This window comes from Homo sapiens, chromosome 1 (genome assembly GCF_000001405.40).
Source record: "Homo sapiens chromosome 1, GRCh38.p14 Primary Assembly".
NCBI lineage: Eukaryota > Metazoa > Chordata > Mammalia > Primates > Hominidae > Homo > Homo sapiens.
Window position 1 is genome coordinate 72,691,402 of NC_000001.11, and position 25,168 is coordinate 72,716,569.

General features: G+C 35.8%; 1 long non-coding RNA gene across 4 annotated transcripts in view; it reads right to left on the reverse strand.

The window, feature by feature from the left end:
- Positions 1-6,049: 6,049 nt before the first annotated feature.
- LOC105378798 (uncharacterized) overlaps positions 6,050-25,168 on the reverse strand; it is a 69,237-nt gene continuing 50,118 nt past the window's right edge. For 2 of the 4 annotated variants that reach the window (NR_188684.1, NR_188685.1), the window contains exons 4-5: positions 9,539-9,662; positions 6,050-6,404 (exon numbers count right to left, since the gene is read on the reverse strand). This is a non-coding gene — a long non-coding RNA (uncharacterized LOC105378798). The remainder of the gene's footprint in view (positions 6,405-9,538; positions 9,663-25,168) is intronic. The other 2 variants (NR_188687.1, NR_188686.1) reach the window with 1 other exon arrangement.

Consider the following 25,168-nt stretch of genomic DNA (forward strand, 5'->3'; position numbering starts at 1 on the left):
TTCTTAAGAGGTTGCTCTGTTAAATTTTTGCTGAAGCTTCTCTGGGTAAGTGTGGACTATTTCTAAACCCCTGAGGCAGGAGTGTCAAGGTTCAACTTATTGGTTAAAGTTTTAGGTAGCTTTTCCAGGAGAAATAGAGCTATTCAAGAAAAAGATGAATTTAAAGGTTGGGTAAATATTAAGCAAGCACCCATCTTGGAAAAGTATATTTTTGCACCAAGGAGGTGTGAATCTTTTCTTTTGGAGGGAGGAGGTGGCATTTTTCCCTATTACCCAACAGGATTTGTAGGAGAGTTGCTCAGAGAAGAAGATAAGCATAGAGTAGGCAGCTCCTGAACCCCAAAGGGAAATTTATAATTTTATTTGACACCTCCAAAGTTTCCCTTGTCCTGTTGATTATGATGTCTGATTTGGAAGCCAGCCAGAACAGAGAGCCCCTTCAACTCAAGAATAATAGACGTTGAGATTTTGTCCTGGGGGTTCTTTGGCACTCAGGGCAGTCTTGTTTCCAGTGGCCTAGCTTGTGGCAGAGGGGGTGAGCCATCCAGGGTTTTTCCCATTTACACCATTGGGGCAGTTTGCCTTCTAGTGGCCTGACTTCCCACACCAAAGGCAGTTACCTGAGAGGGTATTCTCATGGCAACCTGAAGAGGGGGTTGGAGGGTTTATAAAACAGCCAATAATTGAGCCTGCCTCTTGTCCCAGCATTTCTCCTTTTTATTACCTCTGTGCTCTGTCCTCCTTATTCTACTCTCAGTTATAAAACAACAACAACAACAACAACAAAAAACAGAAGACTAATATGAGGACCTCCTGTACACTCCTGTACAGGGGCATTGGGTTCCATGGCTGACTTTTGTAATTTACTCTCAGTTTATTTTTATGTCAAACAGCTTTACAAAGGAAAGCTAGTTTGTGTGTGTGTGTGTGTGTGTGTGTGTGTGTGTGTGTGTGTGTGTGTGTTTAAGGTTTGGAAGATTCAAACTTTTTGGTTTTGAGGGGATGCATCCAAGTGGCATGTCCTGTGGCATGAAGACTTGTTTTTGCATATGCAAAGAGAGGACAGAGGAGAAAACATAAAAAGAAAAAAGAAGACATCACCTCTTACTTTTCTATTATCCTGAATAGGGCATTCCCCATTTGTCCTTAGGGTTCTGGAATTAACCAGTCTTACTATGTACCCTTAACCTTGGTCTCATCTTGTCACAATTACCCACTTGGGATCAGAGGAGATAACATAGTGAAGTGAGCCCCTGTTCATCCTTATGGTGCTGGAATGAACCAGTCTTACCGTGTACCCTTAACCTTGCGTTCATCTCTGTTATAATGGTAATATGTTAGCCTAAGATCAGCCATCTTCTCTGTCCTATGTATCTCTTGCACCTGAAGGCTTGGGTTGGCCTATGTCCTTTTCTCCAGGTCCTTATAGTGACTCTTGCTCAGAGCATTTTAGCAACAAACTGATTATCTTTTTTCTTAGATTCCCATTTCCCATGTTCTTTAAAGATGAAAAGTAGTAGTAGATGAGAAGCCTGTTTTTCAGCTAACTGTCACAATAGGCTTGGAATTCCCTCCCTTAAAATATGACCTTGAAGGTGTTGATGCATGTTGAGAAGGTGTGGAAGTGATTAGAGAAATTCAGGCTGCGGGAGGAAGTGGGAGGAAGCTAGAGGAATACTCATGTAAAGCCTTCATATGCTCACAAAAACAGCAGCCCTGAGATTTAAGTGAGCATTCCTTTGCACTCTTGACATAGAATAGTAACCTCTATAGGATGTGGGGATAAAAAGTTGCAAATGGCAAAGAGAATTTCCCCTCCTCCAAATGTGGTATTAACTCAAAAAAGCAAGCAGGTGAGGTCCATAAAGGGCCACAGGGTGAGGCATTATGCAGGCAGAAAAACAGCTTCAAAAGCCTATGAAAATCTTAACCCTAGAGCATGATAAGGAAAAAAAAAAGTGTAGGTAAGTCATAAGAAGCTGGCAAAGTCAGGATTCCAGTTAGTGTCTGTCCTGGAAATGTGTCAGCAGATAGTGGGAGGGTTAGAGGTATCCAAGCTGGTAAGGTAAAAGCAAGTATAAATCTCAGAGGGTATCATCAAGACAGCCCGTGTCTTTGCAGCCCAGCAAATGCAGCAAGAGCCTGAATAACAGGTAGTGTATGTTTAACGAGTGTATGTTTAAGAAGTCATGTGGAATGCAAAGTGCAGCCAGAGAAGAGGCAGACTTACCCCTGAGGCAGACAATTTGGCAGGTATGCAAGGCCATTTCAGAACACATACAGAAAAAAACAGAATAATAGGCAGTGCAAGTTCTTGGGAAAGAGCTGATTTTAGTTGAAAAAGCAGAAGAAACCCCAGACATTGCAGGGTGTTAGGCTTTAGTCCTACCACCCTCATGAGTCTCCTGTCAGGAGGGCCATTAAATACCTCAGTTCTACTAGGTGCAGACCCCAAGGTCCTTCCCACCCCCTATGAGCCACCTGTCAGGGTGAGCTGAAAGATCAGCCTGGGTGAGCAGAGCTACTTTTGGCCAAGAAGAATCTTTCTGAGAGTTGGTTAGTAAGCAGGAGAGTGAAAGGTGAGAAGAAAACCACATAAAGGGGTTTAATGCCTCTGGTCACAAAGAAGGTGAGATGTGGACATGTCTTACCACTTAGGGAACGTATCAGAGTCATGTGGACCAAAGTGTGTTAGCAGTGGAACATATATGAGTCATGTGGCACCAAAGTATGTTACTGCTGGTGAATCCATATAGGGCTACAAGCAACCTCAGTTCTTGCCTCCTCAGAAGAAAGAACTTGGCTAAGGGGCATAAGGCAGAGGAGACCAAGGCAAGTTTTAGAGCAGAAGTGAAAGTTTATTACAAAGCTTTAGTGCCAGAATTAAAGAAAATAAAGTACACTTGGAAGAGGGCCAAACAGGTGACTTAAGAGATCAAGTGCATGGTATGATCTTCAACTTAGGATTTTAGAAGTTGGCATACTTCTGAGCCTTCTGTCCCTTCTTCCCTGATTCTTCTCTTGGGGTGAGCTGTCCACATGCACAGAGGACTGCGAGCACCTGGGAGGGGAGCATGCAAGCATGCACAGTGTGTTTATTGGAGTTGTACGCATGCTTACTTGAGGCATTCTTCCCTTAGCAGTTGAATAGCCCTAGAAAGCCATATACCAGTCTGCCATTTTGCCTTTTTAATGTTCGTGCTTGGCCCTACTTGCCTAATTCTTGAAGTCTTATTGGGAAGCTGCTGATTACCACTTTCAGTTTTATTCTATCTATTGGGAGATTGCCTTTCCCTGGCACTGGCTGTGACTGATTATTATTTTGAGAAACAATGTAACAACCACCTGATCATCACCTGATGGTCAGTTGACATTTCTGGTTGGGGGCTGGGGATCCCTTTCCTGCTCTACCCACTGTAACAATATCAGATGAAAAATGTAGAAAGAATGAGCTCTTATGAATGTCCAAGAATGAGTAATTAAGCACAGAACCAGGGTAGAGTGTGAGAAACAGCAAAATGATAAAAGGAAAAAAAAAAGAGGTAAAGTCAGTATTAGCTAACAAAGGTAGAGCAGTGCAATTGTATAATTTTCACCTGGTTATGATTTCTAGACTTTGCCTGATTTATATAAGCTAAATGAAAGAGTTCCTATGTGGTGACAATTTTAGATCTTCAGGGAATGTAACTTATGTCAACAAAAGAGTCACATTCTGTAAAATATTTGAAGATATTTATTCTGAGATAAATGTAAGATCCATGACCCATGATATAGCCCCAGGAGACCCTGAGAACATGTGCCCAAGGCAGTTGGGTTACATTTTTTTTTAAACATTTTAGGGGGACAGAAGTTACAGGCAGAGACATAAATGAATGTATGTAAGATATACATTGGTTCATCCCATAAAGGCAGGACATCTCAAAGTAGTGATGTGGGGGGCTTCCACCTTATAGATGGATTTAAAGATTTCCTGAATTATAATTGGTTGAAAGGGTTAAACTCTACCTGAAGGAGTGAAGTTAGCAGAAAGAAATGTTTATTGTTAAGATAAGGGGGCTTGTGGAAGCCAGGGGTCTTGTTGTGTAGATGAAGCCTCCAGGTAGCAGGCATTAGATAGAATAAATGATAAATGTCTCTTATCAGACTCTAAAAGGTGCTCCAGACTCTTAATTAAATCTCTCCTGGACGAGGAAAAAACCAGGAAAACGAATCTGATTTTTCTACAGAATGTAGATTTTCCCTACAAGAGACAGCTTTGTGAGGCCATATCAAAATATGTCATAAAATATATCTTGGGTAAAATACTTCATTTTCTTTCAGGGCTTGGTCTCTGTCATATGATGTTATACTAGAGGCAGGTTGGAATTTGATATCTTACTGCTACAAAGAGTTTGTTTTGTCTGTTATAAGATATCTTTTTTAATGTTAATGCTGGTTAGTTGTGTCTGAATTCCAAAGAGAGGAGAGTTTAATGAGACTTGTCTGACCCTCTCTTCTTATCATGGATTTAACTGGTTTTTTCATGTTTAACTTGTAAGTTAACTGTTTTTTTCAAGTTTAACTTACTATACCTGCTCCTGTTCTACCCATCCATTTCTTCTGGTTTATTTTCATTCCTTGGCCTGAACCATGTTACATTCATTGATTTACTTTAGAATTATTGGTTGAGCATCCACTCTTGCCAGACACTGTATTGTATACTTGAATATAGCTTTGAACACTATTCTTGGACCCTCTTGATAAAATTTAGTTGAACACACAGACAATAACTAATAAATACATGTGAACTTGAAAAAAGTTATGAGAGAAATAAAATGCTCTGTGAAGAAATAATACTGTTAGTTTAGGACATGGATTCCTAATTTAGGTAGATTTGGTAGGGAAACTGTATCTCTTGTCCATTCCCTCACTTTTCCACTCTTTCTAAATATCCTCCCTGATCAGGAGACTGGTATAAGGAAAGGCACGTAAAGAACACAAGTAAAGAAGAATAAAGAAGTTGGGAGAAACCAAGTTGGTCAAAGATGCTTGAAGTTGAGTAAGATAATAATACAGATGTAACCATTGACTGTGGTCACCTAGAGGTCATTAGGAGGTAAATCATTAATGTAAAACCCTAAATACATAAAAGTACCTTAGTCTACATCTGCACACTCTTTATGGTTTTAACTATTGCAATGGATGGAATGTTTATCATTCTTTTAAAAACTAATCTTGATAGAATCAAGTTTCTTCTTTTACCATCTCTTTTCTATTCAAGTGTGATCTTTAGCAAACAATTATGTTCCACTATTTTCTATCTTTAAAATTAAGTACACAGGTAAACAAAGCTATGATTCCAGTCTGGTATGGTGGCATAATATTATTTTGTATTTTGTATCCGCCCAGATATATTAGCAAAATAGTGCTTGTTTTCTTATTGAACCATGGGGGTAGGCCATCAACAGAGAATGAGGATTTGGTGAAGCTTTGGAAATTTTAAGAATGAGAAGGTAGAAAATAGAGTGGGATGGCAAAGATTTTACGAAGTAATAGTATGATGGCTGGCAGAAAGATGATTACCTTGGGAAATGCTCAAATTTTCTCTTTTACTGAAATTTATGATACTCATGAAAGAAGGAAACAGAACTTTTCCCCTTTCCAGTATCTTTGCAAAGATATTGAAGACATGTGTGTGATTGTGTGTGTGTTTTCATGAGCTCTATTTTTCTCAGAAATCTGAGAAGTTAAGGTTTCCCTCTTTTTTTCAAAATCAAAAGAGAGAACAATAAAATTTACCCATCATATTCAACTAGTAATTAAAATAGAGTTGCCTAAAAAAATATGGTAAATTGGAGGCACAATTCCAAAGAAAATTCAGATAGGCCCAATTATATGCATAATAAGGAGGCATACTATTAAGTTATAATTAAAATTCACTATATGTATAAATTGGCTAAATAAATAAATATGTGAAAAGATTTCACCTTTACCCTATGTTCAGAATGAAGAACAGGCCTCATTGCTTCAATATGAAATAACCATTAATGATCAGGATTTAGACCATAAATTTCATTTTAAAAAATTTTACTGTTATCATCATATTGTTTTATTTTCTGGGTTCTTTCTTTCATTTGGCACTTGAAATGTAGATAATCTGGATTCTTCAGTAATGCAGTGTTGAACTTGATCCCAGTTGGCATTTTAAAATACTGATGACGTCAGACAGAAGGTAAGTACAAGAAGTGGGATTTTTAAACTTGTTATTAAAATAAGAAAATACTGCCTGTCTGTCATATGACTTATTTACCGACTCTGTACCCTTCTCCAACAACTTTGGGTGCCAGAAAACTGACTGCTTCTTTGACCTTCCTTGATTTCTGTCTTTGTCTTTGTTCAGCCAATGAAAGGTCCTAGTATGAAATCTGAAAGTGGAAGGAGACAGTGGTCAAAAGAATGGGTTGGCTTTATTGAGCTTGCTGCATTCTTCTTCAGAACCTTTCCACCTACAGCTATTTTCTCCAGGTTTTGGTGATCATTCCCTCCAGTGGCCTTAAAGGCTTAGAATAATAGCTTCCTATTTTTACTAGGTCTAGAGCACTGCATTATACCTTACTAAACCCTGTATGTACTTTATAAATAACTCCACTATCAAAATCTCTTCAAATGACAAGATTGAGCATGATGTATGTTTCATTCCAAGATCCTGACTGATAGAAAAGGTTCTCATGAGACAACAGACATTTGAACTGGGAGGAAATTAGATATAATAAAATGATATTACAGTTATGAGAACTTTGAGTCAGGCTTAGAATGGTGCATATATGGTGTGACTCTTAAGATTCAGTGAGAAATTATCTTGGTGACCTCAAGATAATAGGACACCACAGCTTCTTGAGGAGATGGAGCCTAGAGGTCTACTAAATTATTTTCAGAAATTAAAAGTAAAGTCAATCCTAGGTCTGTGGTGAGAAAATTGAACAATGAGTCTTGAGCATCTTGTAATACCAGAAAGCAAGAAAGTGTTCAAGAAACAAAAAGATGAGGGCATGTCAAAGGGACACAAAGCTCCAACCTGAGAGAGCTCCCACAAGGACATGGTAGAACAATTTAGCAACAGAATACACAAATAACATACTATTGAATTATAATCCAAAGTAAAAAATTAATATTCATGAATACATATTAATATAAATAAAAGATTAAATCAATAAGAGAGTAGAAAGAAATCTTTGGAGAAAAATCCCACATAATATAGACAGATACTCTTTTTTTTTCCCCAGGAAGTAGAGCTTAGTTTCCCTTCCTTCTCTTCAAAGTGGGCTACATTTCAGTATATCTATGCTCCTTAGCTATACAGTTTGATTCTTCACTGAGAACAATGTGATGGATTTTCCAAAGACTGAAAGTTTGTTGCCCCTGATAATCTCATACCCTCATATGATTTTGATTTATACAAATGCTACTTAATATACCGGTGGTAGCAAAAAACAAATGGACCCAAATGAAGCTTGAAACACACATACACTCAAAAACACCCTCTACCCAACTTTTTTTTTTCCAAGGGGTTGAGGGGATAGCAAGCTGTAGTTTTCTGTGTTCCATTGATTTCTATAGACAAAGAAAAATGTACCTAATAGTTTATCTGCAAAGATGTATTGACTATGATTTCATCCTCTGACTTCAGGAGGGTAGCAGGAATATATCTTTCTGGACATGGAAATGAGAAAACGTTCCTTCTGCTACTCTCTGGTTAGTTCAAACTCAAATCGTGATCTGACTGAAGAGAATGATTCCTAAGAAAACCATAGAGGCACAATTTTCCCTTTTGCTCTCAAAGAACTGTAGACATTAGTTATTACAAACATTGTTCAACTGAAAAGAGTAATAAATCAACACAAATTTATTGGATATCTGCCTTTTCAAGAAAATGTGCTAGAAACCATTTGATATAGGTGGGGGAATATTACATGTTTCTAGTGTTGCACTACATATTTTTGAAAGAAGAAAGTTCAAAAGATTTTATGAAAAGCAGGGTTCTTTTTGAAATACGTGTAGAAATAGCTAAATGGATTGAGAAGAGCTGTTAAGTATGAACATACAGCATGATCATAAACAGCTATTTTGGTGGACTAAACAATGCAAAAGCAGCCATCTTGTATTCCCTGGCTGTTAGGGCAGGCATGCACAGACTAACATAGAAAGAATCACTGTTACTAATAGGAACTTCAAGGGGCTTATTTCTAAAGAAAATTGATTTTAGAAGAAAACATGTCAAATTATTTTAGTTTGAGAAACTTAATACTCTAGCAAACCCAGGCAGAGCAATCAAGAGAAAATATGGTCTGAGAATGCTGATATGACTTCAAAACTCAGGTTTGCATTCACATAAAGAAGATTAAACAAATTTCTGATGAAACAAATCTTCGTCTGAGTCATAAGGTTGAATACAAGATAGCAAAATGTTGGAAAGGTTAAAACTCCAGAAAAAGTTTCACAAAATTGTTAAATTACTAGTAATCCTTACCTAAGATTATTTATTTATTTATTAGTTGTTTTATTTGATTAAAAATAAATGAAAATAAACATGCTTTAGCATTTTGGATTTAGCTGAAGCTCCATATATCCTGGTGGACACAGATTCTTTGAATAAGTAGCCACAGTTATTCCAAATGTCAGCAACATTTATAAGGAAGCAAGAAAGCTAAGTAAAATAACCTTAGCTAAAACCTACAGTTCAAACACAAAGGAGTTTATCAACAGAGAAATAGAATTGAATTTATCATTAGTCTTCAAAAATGTTGCAATTTTTACAAGTGTCTTTCTCTTTATATATTTGTCTCTATCCCTCTAATATTGTAAAACTACCCTTTCGTATGGAAAAATCCTGATTATTCTTTAAAACTGTGCTCATGTATATTGATTCTCTAATGGTTTTCTAAAGTACCTTTGCCTCCGCTGGTATAGATTTTCAACATTTATTCATTTGACATCTATCTATTTTCACCTAGAAAGTATAGTTACTTTTTATTATATATTTTGTTTACCCAGATTTGAAAGTTTTTTCCCTTGGGGGCAGAGGGAGGAATCCCAATCTTCTATACCAAAAGTCTTGTCCCAGCTAATAAGACTGTAATTTAAAATTTGTAATTTCAAATAACTGGTTGGATGTAGCAATGCCACAAGAAGTGATGTTTTAAGTAGCATATAATTTAATGACTAAGGCCAGGCATGGTGGGTTATGTCTGTAATACCAAGGCTTTGGGAGGCCAGACAAGAGGATTGCTTGAGGCCAGGAGTTCAAGATCAGCCTGGGCAACATAAGGAGACCCCCCCATCTCAAAAAAAAAAAAAAAAAAAAAAAAAAGCCAGGTGTGGTTTCATGGGCCTGTAGTCCCAGCTACTTGGAAGGCTGAGGCAGTACAATTGCTTGAGCCCAGGAGGTTGAGGCTGCAGTGTGCTATAATTAGACCCCTAAACTCTAGCCTGGGTGACAGAGTGAGATCCTGTCTCTAAAAATAAATAAATAATAATGTAATAATTTAATATATTTTAATACCTCAATAATCTACTGATGAGTTGGCCTGTATCAGTGGCTGTTCGTGTCCTTAGCTGCTTAGCTGCATGGATGGAACATTTATTTTAAAGAAAGCAGATATTTTTCTCCAGAGGAAAGAGAAATGCTTGGGAGACAAAAGCAATAAAAGGAGGTGATTAATGGCAGAGGCTGGAAGTTAGATAGATGGGATGGAATTCTAGCTTTACTACTTACTAGTTGTGTGAATTTGGATAATTTCCTGATAAAATTGACAATGAATTTACCTTTTGAGACTACTGAATTCTCTTTAAATAAAATCTCATCAAGTTAATGTATAAATGATAATCCTAACTTACAGCAAAGAATTGAAGAAAATGACAACCCTTTCCTGTAATATTTGGGAGACACTGATAGATATATTCTATCACAAAACATCCTAAAAATCCTGTTGGAGTATGACTACCCTTTTGTCAAAACTTCCACCCTTTATGGTTACTCACACGTTGATGGGTATTCTCACACCTCTCTCAGTTTCCCTCAATGGATCTCTTTTTCAAAGGATTGCAACACTATTCTTTCCAACCCTCTGCATTCCCTCTTTCCCATTCATCTATGTTTCTCTGATCTCATGTATAGCAACTTATCGTTCTTTTGGCTTCCCAAATTCTCTTCCTCAGACTTCGCCTCAGCACTCAGCAGAGCAAAGCTGAGTCAAGCACCTCATGAGATATGTTAAAGAAGCAAGGAAACCATCTTCCTTAGAAAACAGAAGAGGGCAATGTAAATGTTTACCTATTTTGTGTCCTGTTACATTTAATCTCTTTTAGTGTAATTTACCTCATCTATAACGATAATAGTAGGACAATAAACACCTCCTAAGAATGTTTTCAGTGTTTTAAATGTGATAATGCATATAAGGCACTTTATAATTATTACACAAAAGAAATCAATACATTAGCTATATAATATTTTGGTCAATGGCTTTCATTGATTTAGTGGACATTTTGTATCCATTACAGCATGTGTTTACCTGGCCTACTAAGATTACCCCACTAACAAATCCCTTTAAACTTGTGGAAGTCATCTTCATCCTTTGTCTATACCTTACTTCCACATCTCCAGGTTCTTGTTTTTATTTTATTTTATTGAAGGGCACCTGGAAATAGAGCCCAAATGATTTTCTATGCTATAATTTTTCAAATAAAATCATCAAATTCTCAGAAAAATTCAATACACTTGTGCCTCCCTCCTATAATCTGAATTTTCTTACAATCAAAAATAACTCTTTTAACACAAAGTAAAAACCTCAAACACAAATACCTTCTTTTGGAAAGTACATGAGATTTGAAACTTCATCATGATGTCTGTTAGCTATGAATTTTTAGGGGACTTATTTAACCTCTTCCTCTATTTGGTTAATACAGTGAATCACATTTTTTAAAAATATTGGGATGCCCAAACCCTGTGCATATGTCAATTGGACATCTAGATAAATGCTTCCATTTATAGATTGCTAGCAAGCTTCAAGTACAAAACTTATTCCAGTGTATTGACCTAGATTGCATATCCAAGGCAACCTAATTTCTATGCATTTCTTTCAGTTGAATAAAAATGGTTAACTCAGTATATTTCTGTAGATTCAGTGACCATAGTTTCAGATCTTTTGACAGGGTGAACTAAGATGAAAGTGCACTGAAATATGTAGAAAAGCCCAGAATTAACAATACCTTCTCTACATTGCACATGTGCCAATATAAATAGGTAATATATAAGAATAGTTCTATATTTCTTTTTCTATTTCAGAAGACAGATTTACTCCAACTTCATGGCTTGTATGGCTTGATGATTCTGCTTGATAGATGATATATTTTATTATATTGCAAATACAGTTTCTCTACATTGATAACCTGAAATGAAATATCATTTCCTTCTAAATGAACGAAACAAAATATATCTTCTATTCTAATTGCTAGAATTCTTTAAGAAGGCATGAAATCTGTTATCCAGGTGCTCTAAAGGAACGGCTCAATGTGAAAATACTTCGTATCTCAATATTTTATTATTTAAGCAATATTGTATGATTGTGTCTCTAAAAATATAATTTGCAATGCTGGTTTTATTTTTTATTTTGGTTGAGATGTATATTGACTTTATTCAAATAAACTGTACTCTACAATTGAGAAATTGTACTATCTAACAAAACAAATGTTGCTTAATTAACTCTTTTATAGTTATAATTTTTTTTCTATTCTTTCAAGTACTTGCTATAGCTAATAGTAAAGTTTTACATATTAAATGGAAACCCATAATGTTTAGATAGATATATTTGTTTCAAATAAACCAAAAGCACTGAGACAAAGAAAATGAAATATTGTTCACTCTGTCTTTCTGTATTAGTGGTACACATTATAAGTTAGTTGTCTTTTAATTGGAAAAGATACATCAAAGAAACATGAAAAATGATCTGAGTCTAAGCTTATTTTTATTGATTAAATCTTGATTACATTGCTCAGACATACAAACCTTATGCATATTTTCTGAGAACTTTTCAAAATTAGCTTGAGTGGTATCTGAAAATGTTAAGGAGAAAATTTTGTCTCTTTTCACTTGTGATTAACTTGATCAATGTATTCTCCCAACATTAATCATTTATTTATATGTCTTCAACCAATAATATTCTCTGTCTCTAAAACTTTAACTCTCTGAAGAGTGACCACTCATAATTCAACACATTGAACTGTGTATTGCAAAATCTTTTCTTCATCAAACAAGCAAAGTGCTCAAGAACCCAAATAATAGACTAGCATATGAAAACTTATTAGCAAGTATCTTCTGCCACTGGTCAGATGTGTGACCAGAATTGTTCTAATCAACTCTGGACTTTCAGCCAACAACTTAAGAAAGGAATGTAGCACAGGAAGTATCCATGTTATAGGTTCATTTCTCAAATCAGAAGGAAAATTGTAGATTCTGGGCTTGCAATTGGAGAAAGCCTGCTTTCCAAGAAAAAAAAAAAAAAGAAAAAAGCAGAATTGTAGATTCTGCTTCTGATTTGAGATCTGGGATAGTACCTATAGAAGTGGTGAAATAAGTGGGTTTGCAATTAAACTTAATTGGTTTTACTCTTGATTCTGCCACTTACTGGCTATTTGATCTTGAACAAGTTGTTTCAACTTCCTAAGCATTAATTTTCTTCATCTGTAAACCTGATAAATAATGATGCCTACGTATAAGGTTGCTATGTGGGTTAAGTAAGGTAATGCAACTAAATGGTCCAGTATAATGCACATACAAAAGCTCAGAAGTAATGCAATTAAGGTGTTTAGTATTAATATGTAAAGCATTTAGTGTTAACAGGAAAAATATTTAGTATGATGCACATCATAAATTGAAAAGCTAATAGAATCAAGTAGCTACAATTTATGTATTATTATGTTTTTGTTTACTTAAATGTATATATGCTTTTCTTGGCTCACTGCAACCTCTGCCTCCTGGGTTCAAGCAATTCTCCAGCCTCAGCCTCACAAGTAGCTGGAATTATAGGCACGTGCCACCACACCTGGCTAATTTTTTGTATTCTTAGTGGAGATGGGGTTTCAACATGTTGACCAGGCTGGTCTTGAACTCCTGACTTCAGGTGATCTTCCTGCCTTGGCCTCCCAAAGTGTGGGGATTACAGGCATGAGCCACCGGTGCCTGGCCATGTTTTTCTCAATTAATCTTTTTCTTCTAGGTATGTGTTGCAGGTTGGATTCTGTGAAAGCCAACTCTGAGAAAGAGATTAAAATGCTAGGAGTTTATTAGGAAGTGCAGTTGGAGTCAGCACCTGTAGAAGAAAGAGATAGAGATAGGACTGGGAGGTGAGAGAAACTCTTGCAGGCATCAGTCTCAACAAGGTTTCAACCAATTACATGGGAGCTCTGGAGCTGTTAATAGATGGCCCTTCAGTGGCCTTTTGTTGCTGGGAGGAGCCCGGGTGTCCATACTTTTATATCAACCAGGCATTGGATGTAGGCTTCTTCAGGAAGGAGGTATGACCTTGAGCAATGCAGGGCTCTTCAACTAAGGGCAATTTTCTGAGATTTCCTGAAACATATAGTTGAGCATTATCTTCCAGGAGCACTCCTCGCAGATGGGAGCACAGGTTCTTCTGACCTGCAGGGGAATCTAAGCAGCCAAATACAACAATTACATACTTCCTCTTAAGTTATCTTTTCTGGAGTCTGTTCAGAAGCTAAATTTGCTTTTTTGTTTTATATTTAATAACTATCAATGGCTGTTATTTTGAAGTCAATTAATAAAAGGAAAGTTTGCTAGTAGGAGATGTCACAGAATTCATGAAAGCCCTTTGACAATTTGCTACGCCTCTTGTATGTACTGGGATTGGATATAGTGATATGCACTATATCCAACAGGGGATATTTCCTTCCTTCCTTCCTTCCTTCCTTCCTTCCTTCCTTCCTTCCTTCCTTCCTTCCTTCCTTCCTTCCTCTCTCTCTTTCTTTCTTTCTTTTTCTTTCTTTCTTTCTTTTTCTTTCTTTCTTTCTTTTTCTTTCATCTTTCTTTCTCTTTCTTTATTCTTTCTCATATTAGGCATCTAAAGCTCTTGGTATTGACAGATAAGCAAGATTCAACTAAAATGGAACTTCTAAAGTAAATAGTAAACTTGGGGGTAAGTAAATAATTAATTTTTAAAAAGGAACTATCATTATTTAGCCCAGAGAAGAAACTTTTTGTATGGTTGGAGGACAGAGATGTGCCATCCTCTTTATGTGCAGAAAGGATAAGTTGTTTGATTTTTGTTTAATAACAGGTGGAACTTTAGTAAGAATAAGGTAGGTGGTGTGTGCCTACAGCAAAATAATGGAACAAACCAGAAACCCAGCTGTTTGATTTGAATTTATTTGGTTACAGTGTTTTGGTAACATAAAGAGAAAAAGGGAATTTATTAGAAAGATACCTGTTTAAAACCTATCACCATAATCCAAAAAGGAGTTGGAAAATCAATCACACAGTATCTTTCAAGGTTTCTATAGAATTTTAACTTTCACTCAAGAGAAAAGCCATTAATGCAATTTGGCTGTGACTCAACATAATATTTCTTACTCTCAAATCTGTATTCATCGGGAGAAATTGCAACTGACTCAGATTCAGTAAAGTGTCTATTTCTAGATTAAATAAGGGTAGCAGGTGGGCGGGATCATGTTAAGCTCATGGAGCAGCTTTCTTGTGGGCAATGGAAGGCTCTGTCGTAGCGATCAATTCTTCTGTTTACTACTACTCGGCAAATAGGGACACTATTTTACTTAGTGTACATAGGCAAATATCAAGGGTGTGTGTGTGTGTGTGTGTGTTGTAAAATGGAAGTAACTAAAAGGAAAACATTTTAGATATATGTTATTATAAAATAAGATAAATTCCCATGCATTTGGGATGATTTAAACATGTTTCTTTATAAAATCAAGAAGATTAGCTGATTTATATGATTTGCTTCAATATACTGGGCTTGCAACTGGAGAAGGCCTGCTTTCCAAGAAAAAAATTGTGTGAGTATATATTTATTTATACATATGTGTGTGCACGTATTTCTATACAGTTTTTTAAATATCAGAATAACATTGCTTATCACCTATTCAAGATACAATAAGGCTTAGTATTTTTCATTAGTTTACTTGGGAAAGTATCCATATCCTTCATTATTTTTCTGCCTACTATATTGGTCAAGTAGCTGTGCTATGTTAGTTGAGAATTAATATGGACTTATATTAGAAAAAGAATACCTAAAAATTTGGCAGCTGGCTGACTACCAGTCAATGAGAACCCATCTAAAATATAAATATATTTTTAAAGTAGCTGTTGAACTTTTTGACTTGTAACAAATGTCTGACTATAAACTCTAGCTCAAAAATAAATTCCCAGATTTTAGTAGGCTTTTTAGCTATAGAAAAACTATATGACAGAATTTTTTAATTAGTGAGTCAATTAGACATTGATTAGAACACTGTAGCACCCGTGCAAGTTTTATTATCACCATTCAGGCTTAGCAAGCTTGTATGCTCCTTACATTTTGCAGCAGTTCTCTTTGGTTTAATATTTGGAATTAATTTCTGAAATAGCTTAGACAGGCTGAGCATTCAGCCTGTCGTTTTTCTAAATCTGATAGGATGGAATAATAAGTAGCTGAAATATTCTAGAGCTATATTACAGGCTTCAGTGATCACAAGGGTCTATGATTCATTCTCAAAGCAAAGTTTCTTTTCTAATATGTCTGATGTATTGGTTTTTATTGGCAATTTTCATATCTGAGTTGGTGACCCTGCCATTTGTCTTTATTGTTATTATTCTCTCTTTGTGGCAATGATAAGAAAACTGGTTCAGGCCCTGTGGTTGTTTATGTCTGCAGTCAGTTATTCTTGAGGCTGCTCTCCTCTGCTGGGTTCCTTTCTTGCAATCTTTTTTTTTTCTTTCTTTCTTTTGTGTGGATACCTGATTTCTGAGCAGATGCTCTTTTTAATCTCATCTCATGTTAATTTTAAATACTTATGTATCAAATGTTTCCAGTCAGTAAATCAGGAATCAGTTTCTGTGTTACATTCATGGCACTCATTAAATTGTGATCTCATGATTAACATGCTTGTCTCCTTTAAGGGATTGTTAGCCAAGAATTGTGTTTTTGTCATCTCTAGAACCAGAGTCTAAGCACAGAACTGAACACACTCTAAACACTCAGGAGCTTTTGATTGAAGGAGTAAACAATAACAGAACACCAGTGCAGAACTGGAAACTTAATGGGTGGGAAGTAAATAAATTAAAGGAAACAAATAATGAATTGGCACTTACATATTGTTGGTTTGGAAAAATCCATAGAAAAGATAAATATTGTTTTGGGTTATTGAAGTTGCCTGCTTATTATCTGTATTCTTAAATGGATGTTCCATTATGAACACATAGAACAATTACAGTCAGCAAAGGTCAGCCTTCCTTTCTTTTTAGTACTTCAAGAATGTCTATCCACATACATGTTCGACCTAGCATTTTATGCTCTTTCCCATGGTTCTTTCTATTCTTCTGACTCTGTACTCAACTCTATACCTTATTCAAGCCTATATCCTTCTTTTAGTGATTATTTTAATATCTTTTTTCAGCTTCCTGAATTTGCTTCTCATTCTACTCCCACCCTATTCTAGCTTATCTTACATTTTCTTCCCATTCTTTTGGTTTCAGTAAATGTGCAACTCATTTGTAAATTTGGGGAGATATCTCTGAAGACGGTATGTAATTAAATTATGCTATTATAGCTTGGGGCCTAGATTCCTGTGAAATAAACTCAGTATGTGGATCTTTTCCAGAACCCCAGTATATGTGATCTATGTTAATTAGCTGTGTTCAGCCTCCCATATTTTGTGCCAATCCTATAAAATCTAAGTTTTCGGGGTTACAGGAAGGATCAAAAAAGATGATGAATATAGAAACATATTTTCAGTCAAATCTCATCAGTTTACGTATACATTTTGTAACAACTAATGAAAAAGATCTTACATGACTTCCTAGACAGAGATGAATACTTATGAGGATGAGTGTTAAAGTCAGAGTGCCTGCGAGCATCTCTCAGCTATGCTTTTTGCTTGCTGGCCCGGAGTCTAAGTAAGGTGTTTAAGTTCTCTATATCTCAGTTGCTTCATAGAATTATGGGATCAAATATGTAAACACATGTAAATTTCTTTGCTACTACACAGCAAGTACTCGGTTAAATGTGAGCATTTACCATTACTATTTTTCTTTTTATTGTTACAAAATATTATTGATATATTCATTTTCTATTCTCTTTGTGCTTAAGCAAATTTTGTAGCCAACTGTAATCACACTTGCAAGATATACTTCTATCTCCAAAAGAAAAATCCTAAGCTACAACTTAACAATTGTGCTCTCATATTCTTGGATGAATATTAATGTTTTTAAAATGAGAGGTCTTCAAAAGCAATCAGAGATATCCAGTGATTAATGGAGGTTGCCTTCTTTTCCAAACTGCTTTGAAAATTCACCTGTTGAAACCTGTTTTTCTGTTCTGTGGCCATAATCAGAACTTTTAGCAGCTCTAAAATACTCTGTTTTACTTTATCTCTACTTTCTCCTAATATAGCTCAATCCTATACCATCATAACTGACAGCTCCACAACAGTGGTAGAGCCCATTCATTCCAAGGAGGACTCAGATGCTAGTGATCTTCATCCTGTCTGCCACTTGTGAGGATGAAAACTGGAGTCTGCTGAGTCTGCTTTCTAGATATGAGTAGACCGAATGAAGACATCCTGGCACTGGTGAATTTTATTTCTTTATTTTCATCTTCTTTTCAGCACCCATTCCATTCTTTCCCATGCTGTATCAGCTTTGATTAGGGTGATATTAGTTTCACTTCTGTCACAAAAGGTAGGCTCCCTGTTGTTTAAATCAATAAGGGCTATCCTATCTCTCTTTCCACAATATTTCACGTAGCTTAAGTCTTGACCAGTCATAACATGACACTCCCCTGAACACAGGGACCTGTTCACAGTGTTTCAATTAGTAGGAAAGTCAGATATTTATTTGATGTCCTCTGTGCTGCTGGATGGGAATGTACCATGTTGCCCAACTGCTGGCAGCCATATTAGCACTTACAGGGAAGCCAGATGTAGCGTGAAGCCAGATTTTTGTATGGCACAACAGAGAGTCTGAAAGAAATTGAGTCCTTGATGACATTACTGAACCACTGTAACTTCAAGTTACAGGAGCCAATGATTCCCCTTTATTGTTTAAGCCACTTGGAATAGAGGTGTACTTTATAATCCAAGCAATCAAACTGATGTGCTTTCATTGAGTGATTTGTGAATAAACTCTTCACTCAAGATCACAGCACAGTCACTGTCCTTTAAATTAAAAAACTAAATAACTGTGGAATCCCCCCTATGGAAAATATTCTCATACCTGAGAATGTAGAAGTTATTTTACTAAGGTAAAAGCTAACTGGCACAATTTAGCTTAGGCAGCTGGCCAATGATTGTACAGAATATTCCTTGATTGAGGTCCAGAGATGTCCAGTGGCAGGCCCAAACTGCTCTGAGATTAGCGAGGCATAGTACATCAAGACAACCTTGTGGTATACAACCAGTCAGGTAAGTTTCCTCCAAACACAAAGGCTTTGCAACTCCACCACATTCACAGGACTCAAGTTTGTTTCAGAGACCTAAATCTGGTTCCCAAGGACTTTTTGTGTCACATAAAAGCCAGAGATAGTAAAATATCTGTGCTCAAGGCCCTCTGCTGGCTTCCTATTATGCTCAAAGAAAGCAATAGATTCTTGCAAGTGATGGAAATGTTACCCAATCTGATCCTCACTTATACCTGTAAATTCATTTCCTAGCACTCTCTCCTTCATTTAGGTCTAGTCTCAATGGCCACCTCACTTTCCTACCAACATGCCATATGTATTCCTGCCACATACCCTTTTGTACTGGCTACTCCTCTGTCTTAGAAGGCCCTTCCTGCCAATATCTGCATGGCTCTCTTAACTTTCTTCTAAGAACATTTTCACAGTGAATCTTTCATTGCATGATTTTTCAAAAGTATCAAATGCTTCTTTTATGATGTTCTTTGCTCCCCCACCATACCTACACAACCTTCCTTATCCATGCTTCTGATTTATTTTCTTCTTAGTCTTTAGCACCTAACATAGAAGTTTTAAAATTAATTATCTTGTTTACTATCTATTTCCCCATTAAAGTGTGATTTTCATATGCACAAAGGAATAATTGGTATTGGAGTTACCCTACCTTACTCACAATTATAAAACTGAAGAATATATTTATGAACAATGAGCTTCAGGCATTGGATACGGGGCAGCACAGGATTGTGAAAGAAAGCAAACATAGAAAGGAAGTGTGTAGTATTTTCCTCACTTTTTTTTTTTTTTCTGCAGGGCCTTTTCCTGAACAGTCCAGGAGGTAGGAGCCCTCAAATGAATAGAGGAGTTAGGGAATGCTGAGGCAGCTGAGAATGCAGGGCACAGTCCTAGAGAAAAGAGAGCCATGTATAACAGATAAAGAAGCCAGAAAAATAAAAAGAAAGTATGAATCATTATGTACAATGGCACAACTATAAGAATTGATGGCTGAATTTTTTAACAGATACAGTAGAAATCAGAAGACAAGAAAACCTCATCATTAAATGGCAAAAAAAATTAAAAGTCAGCCAAAAATTCTGTATCCCATGAAGATGTCCTTCATTAATGAGGTTCAAGTAATAATATTTCAATTAAAGAAACCAACAGATAAAGAATGTACATTTTGTATATGTATTGTCTTACATAAAATCAAAACTGAGATAGTTTATATGTTTAGCCTCAATATATAACACTCAGTAAGTCTCAATATATTTCAAAATAAATGTTTAAAGTTTTGTTTTAAATTGACATGATAATTGCATATATTTATGGGGTACAGTGTGATGCTTTGATACCTATTGTAATAATCAAATCAGGGAAGTTAGCATATTCATCACCTCAAACACATGTCCTTTCTTTGTGGTGAGGACGTGCCAAATCCTCGCTTTCAGCCATTTGGCAATATATGATACATTATTGTTAACTGCCGTCATCCTGCTGTGCAATAGAACAAGAACTTATTTCTCCTATCTTACTATAACTGTATGCCTGTTGACTAACCCGTCCCTTTAACAGTCCTTTCTCCCTCACCTCCCCTGCCTGTAGCAATTACTATTCTCCTTCTAAAAATCAATTTTTTAAAAATTTCCAGTAGGAGTGAGATCATGCAGTATTTGTCCTTCTGTGCTTGGCTTAATTCACTTAACATTGTCTATAAGTTTCATCCATGTTGTCACAAATGACAGGTTTTCATTTCTTTTTATGGCTGAATAGTATTCCATTGTGTATATGTGCCACATTTTAAAAATCCATTCATCTATTGATGAACACTTAGGTGTTGATTCCATGTCTAAGCTGTTGTGAATAGCGCTGCAGTAAACCTGAGAGTGGAGATATTTCTTTGGCATATTGATTTTATTTTCTTTGATATATACCCAGTAGTAGTATTGTTGGATCATATGGTAGTCCCATGTTATTTTACTTTTTAAAGGAACTTCCCTACTGTTATCCATAATGGCTGTACTAATTTACATTCCTGCCAGCAATGTATAAGATTTCCCCTTTCTTCACATCCTCATCAGCATTTCAATGGATTAAAGACTTAAATGTAAGACTCAAAATATTAAAACTATTAGAAGAAAATGTAGGGTGAATGCTTCATGACATTGATTTGGGCAAAGATTTTTTGAATAAGACCTCAAAAACACAATCAAAGTAAAAATAGACAAGTGAGATTACATCAAACGAAAAAGCTTCTGCAGAGCAAAGAAAACAATCAACAGAGCGAAGAGACTACCTACAAAATGAAAGAAAATATGCACAAACTGAATCTGACAATGCGTTAGTATTCAGAATATGTAAGGAACTCAAAAAAATCAATAGCCAAACAACAGATATTTGATTTAAAAATGAGCAAAATATATGATTAGACATTTCTCAAAAGAAGACATACAAATGGCTAATATGTGCATGAAAAATACTCAACATCCCGAATCATTGTGGAAATGCAAATCAAAACCACAGCGAGTTACCACCTCACCTCATTTGGAATAGCTATTACAAAAAAAAAAAAAAAAAAAAAAAAAAAAAAAAAAACCAACGTTATAGAATATGTTTTGAGCACCATGGAATTAATTAAAAATCAAGTAATTGAGATATCTAGAAAATCCCCAAATATCTGGAAATTTAAAAAATACATTTTTTTGTTTTTTGTTTTTGTTTTTGTTTTTTTTTTTAAATTTTTATTTAGGTTTGGGGGTACATGTGAACGTTTGTTATATAGTAAACTCATGTCACAGGGGTTTGTTGTACAGAGATTATTTGATCACCCAGGTATTAAGCCTAGTATCCAATAGTTATTTTTTCTGCTCCCCTTCCTCCTCGCAAGTAGATCCCAGTGTCTGTTATTTCCTTCTCTGTGTTGATGAGTTATCATCCTTTAGCACCCACTTATAAGAGAGAACATGTGGTATTTGGTTTTCAGTTTCTGTATTAGTTTGCTAAGGAAAATAGCCTCCAGCTCCATCCATGTTTCCACGAAAGACATGATCTTTTTTTTTTTTTTTATGGCTGCGTAGCATTTCATAGTGAATACATACCACATTTTCTTCATTCACTCTACTATTGATAGGGATTTACGTTGATTCCATGTCTTGCTATTGTTACTCATGCTGCAGCAAACATTCGTGTGTTTGTCTTTATGGTAGAATTATTTATATTCTTCTGAGTATATACCCAGTAATGGGATTGCTGGGTGAAATGGTAGTTCTGCTTTTAGGTCTTTAAGGAATAATCATACTGCTTTCTACAATGGTTGAACTAATTTACACTCTCACCAACAGTGAGAGTGAAAATGTTCCCTTTTCTCCAAAATCTTTCAGGTATCTGTTATTTTTTCAATTTTTTAGTAATAGCCATTCTGAGTGGTATGAGATGGTATATCATTGTGGTTTTGATTTGCATTTCTCTAATCATCAGTGATATTGAGCTTTTTTTCCATATGCTTGTTGGCTGCATGTATGTCTTCTTTTGAGAAGTGTCTGTGCATGTACTTTGCCCACTTTTTAATGGGGTTGTTTGTTTTTCTCTTGTAAATTTGTTTTGGTTCCTTATAGATGTTGAATATTAGACCTTTTTTAGGTATTTGCAAAAATTTTATCCCATTCTGTAGGTTGTCTGTTTATTCTGTTGATAATTCCTTTTGCTGTGCAGAAGCTCTAATTAGAAGTTTAATTAGATCTCATTTGTCAATTTTTTTGCTTTTGTTGTGATTGCTTTTGGTATTTTTTGTCATAAAATCTTTGCCCGTTGCTATGTCCAGGAAGGTATTACCTTGGCTGTCTTTCAGGATTTTATAGTTTTGGGTTTTACATTTGAGTCTTTACACCATCTTGACTTGATTTTTGTATATGGTGTAAGGAACAGGTCCAGCTTCAATCTTCAGCATATGGCTAGCCAATTATCCCAACAACATTTATTGAATTGGGAGTTTTCTCCCCATTGCTTGTTTTTGTCAGCTCCGTCGAAGATCAGATGGTCATAGATACATGGTCCTATTTCTGCACTCTTTATTCTGTTCCATTGATCTAGGTGTCTGTTTTTGTACCAGTACTATGCTGTATTGGTTACTGTATCTCTGTAGTATAGCGTGAAGTCAGGTAGCATGATGCCTCCAGCTTTGTTCTTTTTGATTAGGAATGCTTTGGTTATTCTGGCTCTTTTTTGGTTCCATGTGAATTTTAAAATAGTTTATTTTATTTTTTATTATTTTATTTAGTTCTGTGAAGAATACCATTGGTAGTTTGATAGAGTCACACTGAATCTGTAAATTGCTTTAGTCAATATGGCCATTTTAATCATATTGATTCTATCCATGAGCATGGGATGTTTTTCCATTTGCTTGTGTCTTCCCTAATTTCTTTGAGCAGTATTTTGTAATTCTCACTGTAGAGATCTTTCACCTCCCTGGTTAACTGTATTCTATTTTATTCTTTTTGTGGCAATTGTAATGGGATTGTGTTGCTGATTTGGCTCTCAGCTTGGCTGTTGTTGATGTATACAAATTCTAATGATTTTCATACACTGATTTTTGTATCCTGAAACTTTGCTGAAGATTTTTATCAGCTGAAGGAACTTTTGAGGTTAAGACTATGGGGTTTTCTAGATATAGAATCATGTCTGCAAACAGAGATAGTTTGACTTCCTTTCTATTTGGATGCCCTTTATTTTTTTTATTGCCTGATTGCTCTGGCTAGGACTTCCAATATTATGTTGAATAGGAGTAGTGAGAGAGGGCATCCTTGTCTTGTGCCAGTTTTCAAGGTGAATGTGTTCAGCTTTTGCCCATTCGGTAAGATGTTGGCTGTGGGTTTGTCATAGATGGATCTTATTATTTTGAGGTATGGTCCTTCAATACCTAGTTTATTGAGAGTTTTTAACATGAATTGGTTTTAAATTTGATCAGAAGTCTTTCCTGCATTTATTGAGAGAATCGTGTGGTTTTTGTCTTTAGTTTTGTTTATGTGATGAATCACATTTATTGATTTGCATATTTTTAATCAACCTTGCATCCTGGAGATGAAGCCTACTTAATTGTGGTAGATTAATTTTTTAGTGTTGCCGGATTCACTTATCAAGTAGTTTGTTGAAGATTTTTGAATCCATGTTCTTCAAGGATACTGGTGTGAAATTGTCTTTTCTTCTTATATCTCTGCCAGGTTTTGGTACCAGGATGATGCCAGCCTTGCGAAATGAATTGGGGAGGAATCTCTCCTCAATTTTTTGGAATAGTGTCTGTAGGAATGGTACCAGCTCTTCTTTGTACATCTCGTAGAATTAGCCTGTGAAGCCATCAGGTCCTGGGCTTGTTTTGGTTGGTAGGTTATTACTGATTCAATTTCAGAGCTCATTGTTGGTCTGTTCAGGGAATCAGTTCCCCCCTGGTTCAGTCTTGGGAGGTCATATGTGTCCAGGAATTTATCAATCTCTTATAGGTTTTCTAGTTTGTGTGCATAGAGGTAGGTGTTCATAGTAGTTTCTGATGGTTGTTTGTATTTCTGGGAGTTCAATGGTAACATCCCCTGCATCATTTCTAACTGTGTTTATTTGCATTTTCTCTCTATTCTTCATCATTCATCTGTTTAGCAGCCTATTTTATTTTTTTTTTTCAAAAAAAAAAAAACTTCTATATTTGTTGATCTTTTAAATGGTTTTTTAATGTCTCAATTTACTTCAGTTCAGCTCTGATTTGGGTTATTTTTTGTCTTCTGTTAGCTTTAGGCTTGATTTGTTCTTCTCTAATTCTTTCCATTGTGATGTTACGTTGTTAATGTGAGATCTTTCTAACTTTATGAAGCAGGTATTTAATGCTATGAATTTTCCTCTTAACGCTGCCTTAGCTCTGTGTCACAGAGATTCTGATATGCTATATCTTTGTTCTCATTAGTTTCAAAGAACCTCTTGATTTCTTCTTTAACTTCATTATTTACCCAAAAGTCATTCAAGAGTATGTTGTTTAATTTCCATGTAATCGCATGGTTTTGAGCACTGTTCTTAGCTTTGACTTTTATTTTTATTGTGCTGTGGTTTGAGAGTGTGTTTGGTATGATTTCAGGGCTTTTTTTTGCATTTGCTGAGGATAGTTTTATGTCCAATTATGTGACCAATTTTAAAGCATGTGCCATATGGCAATGAGAAGAATGTATAGTCTGTTGGTTTGCAGTAGAAAGTTCTGTAGAGGTCTGCCCGATCCATTTGGTCCAATGTTGACTTCAGTTCCTGAATATCTTTATTTTCTGCCCCTACTATCTGTCTAATACTGTCAGTGAAGTGTTGGAGTCTTGCACTATTATTGTGTGACAATCTGTGTCTCTTTGCAGGTTATCTAAGAACTTGTTTTATCACTCTGGGTGCTCCTGTGTTGGGTGCATACATATTTAGGATAGTTAGGTCTTCTTGTTGAATTGAACCTTTTACCATTATGTAATGCCCTTGTTTGTCTTTTTTTTTTAATCTTT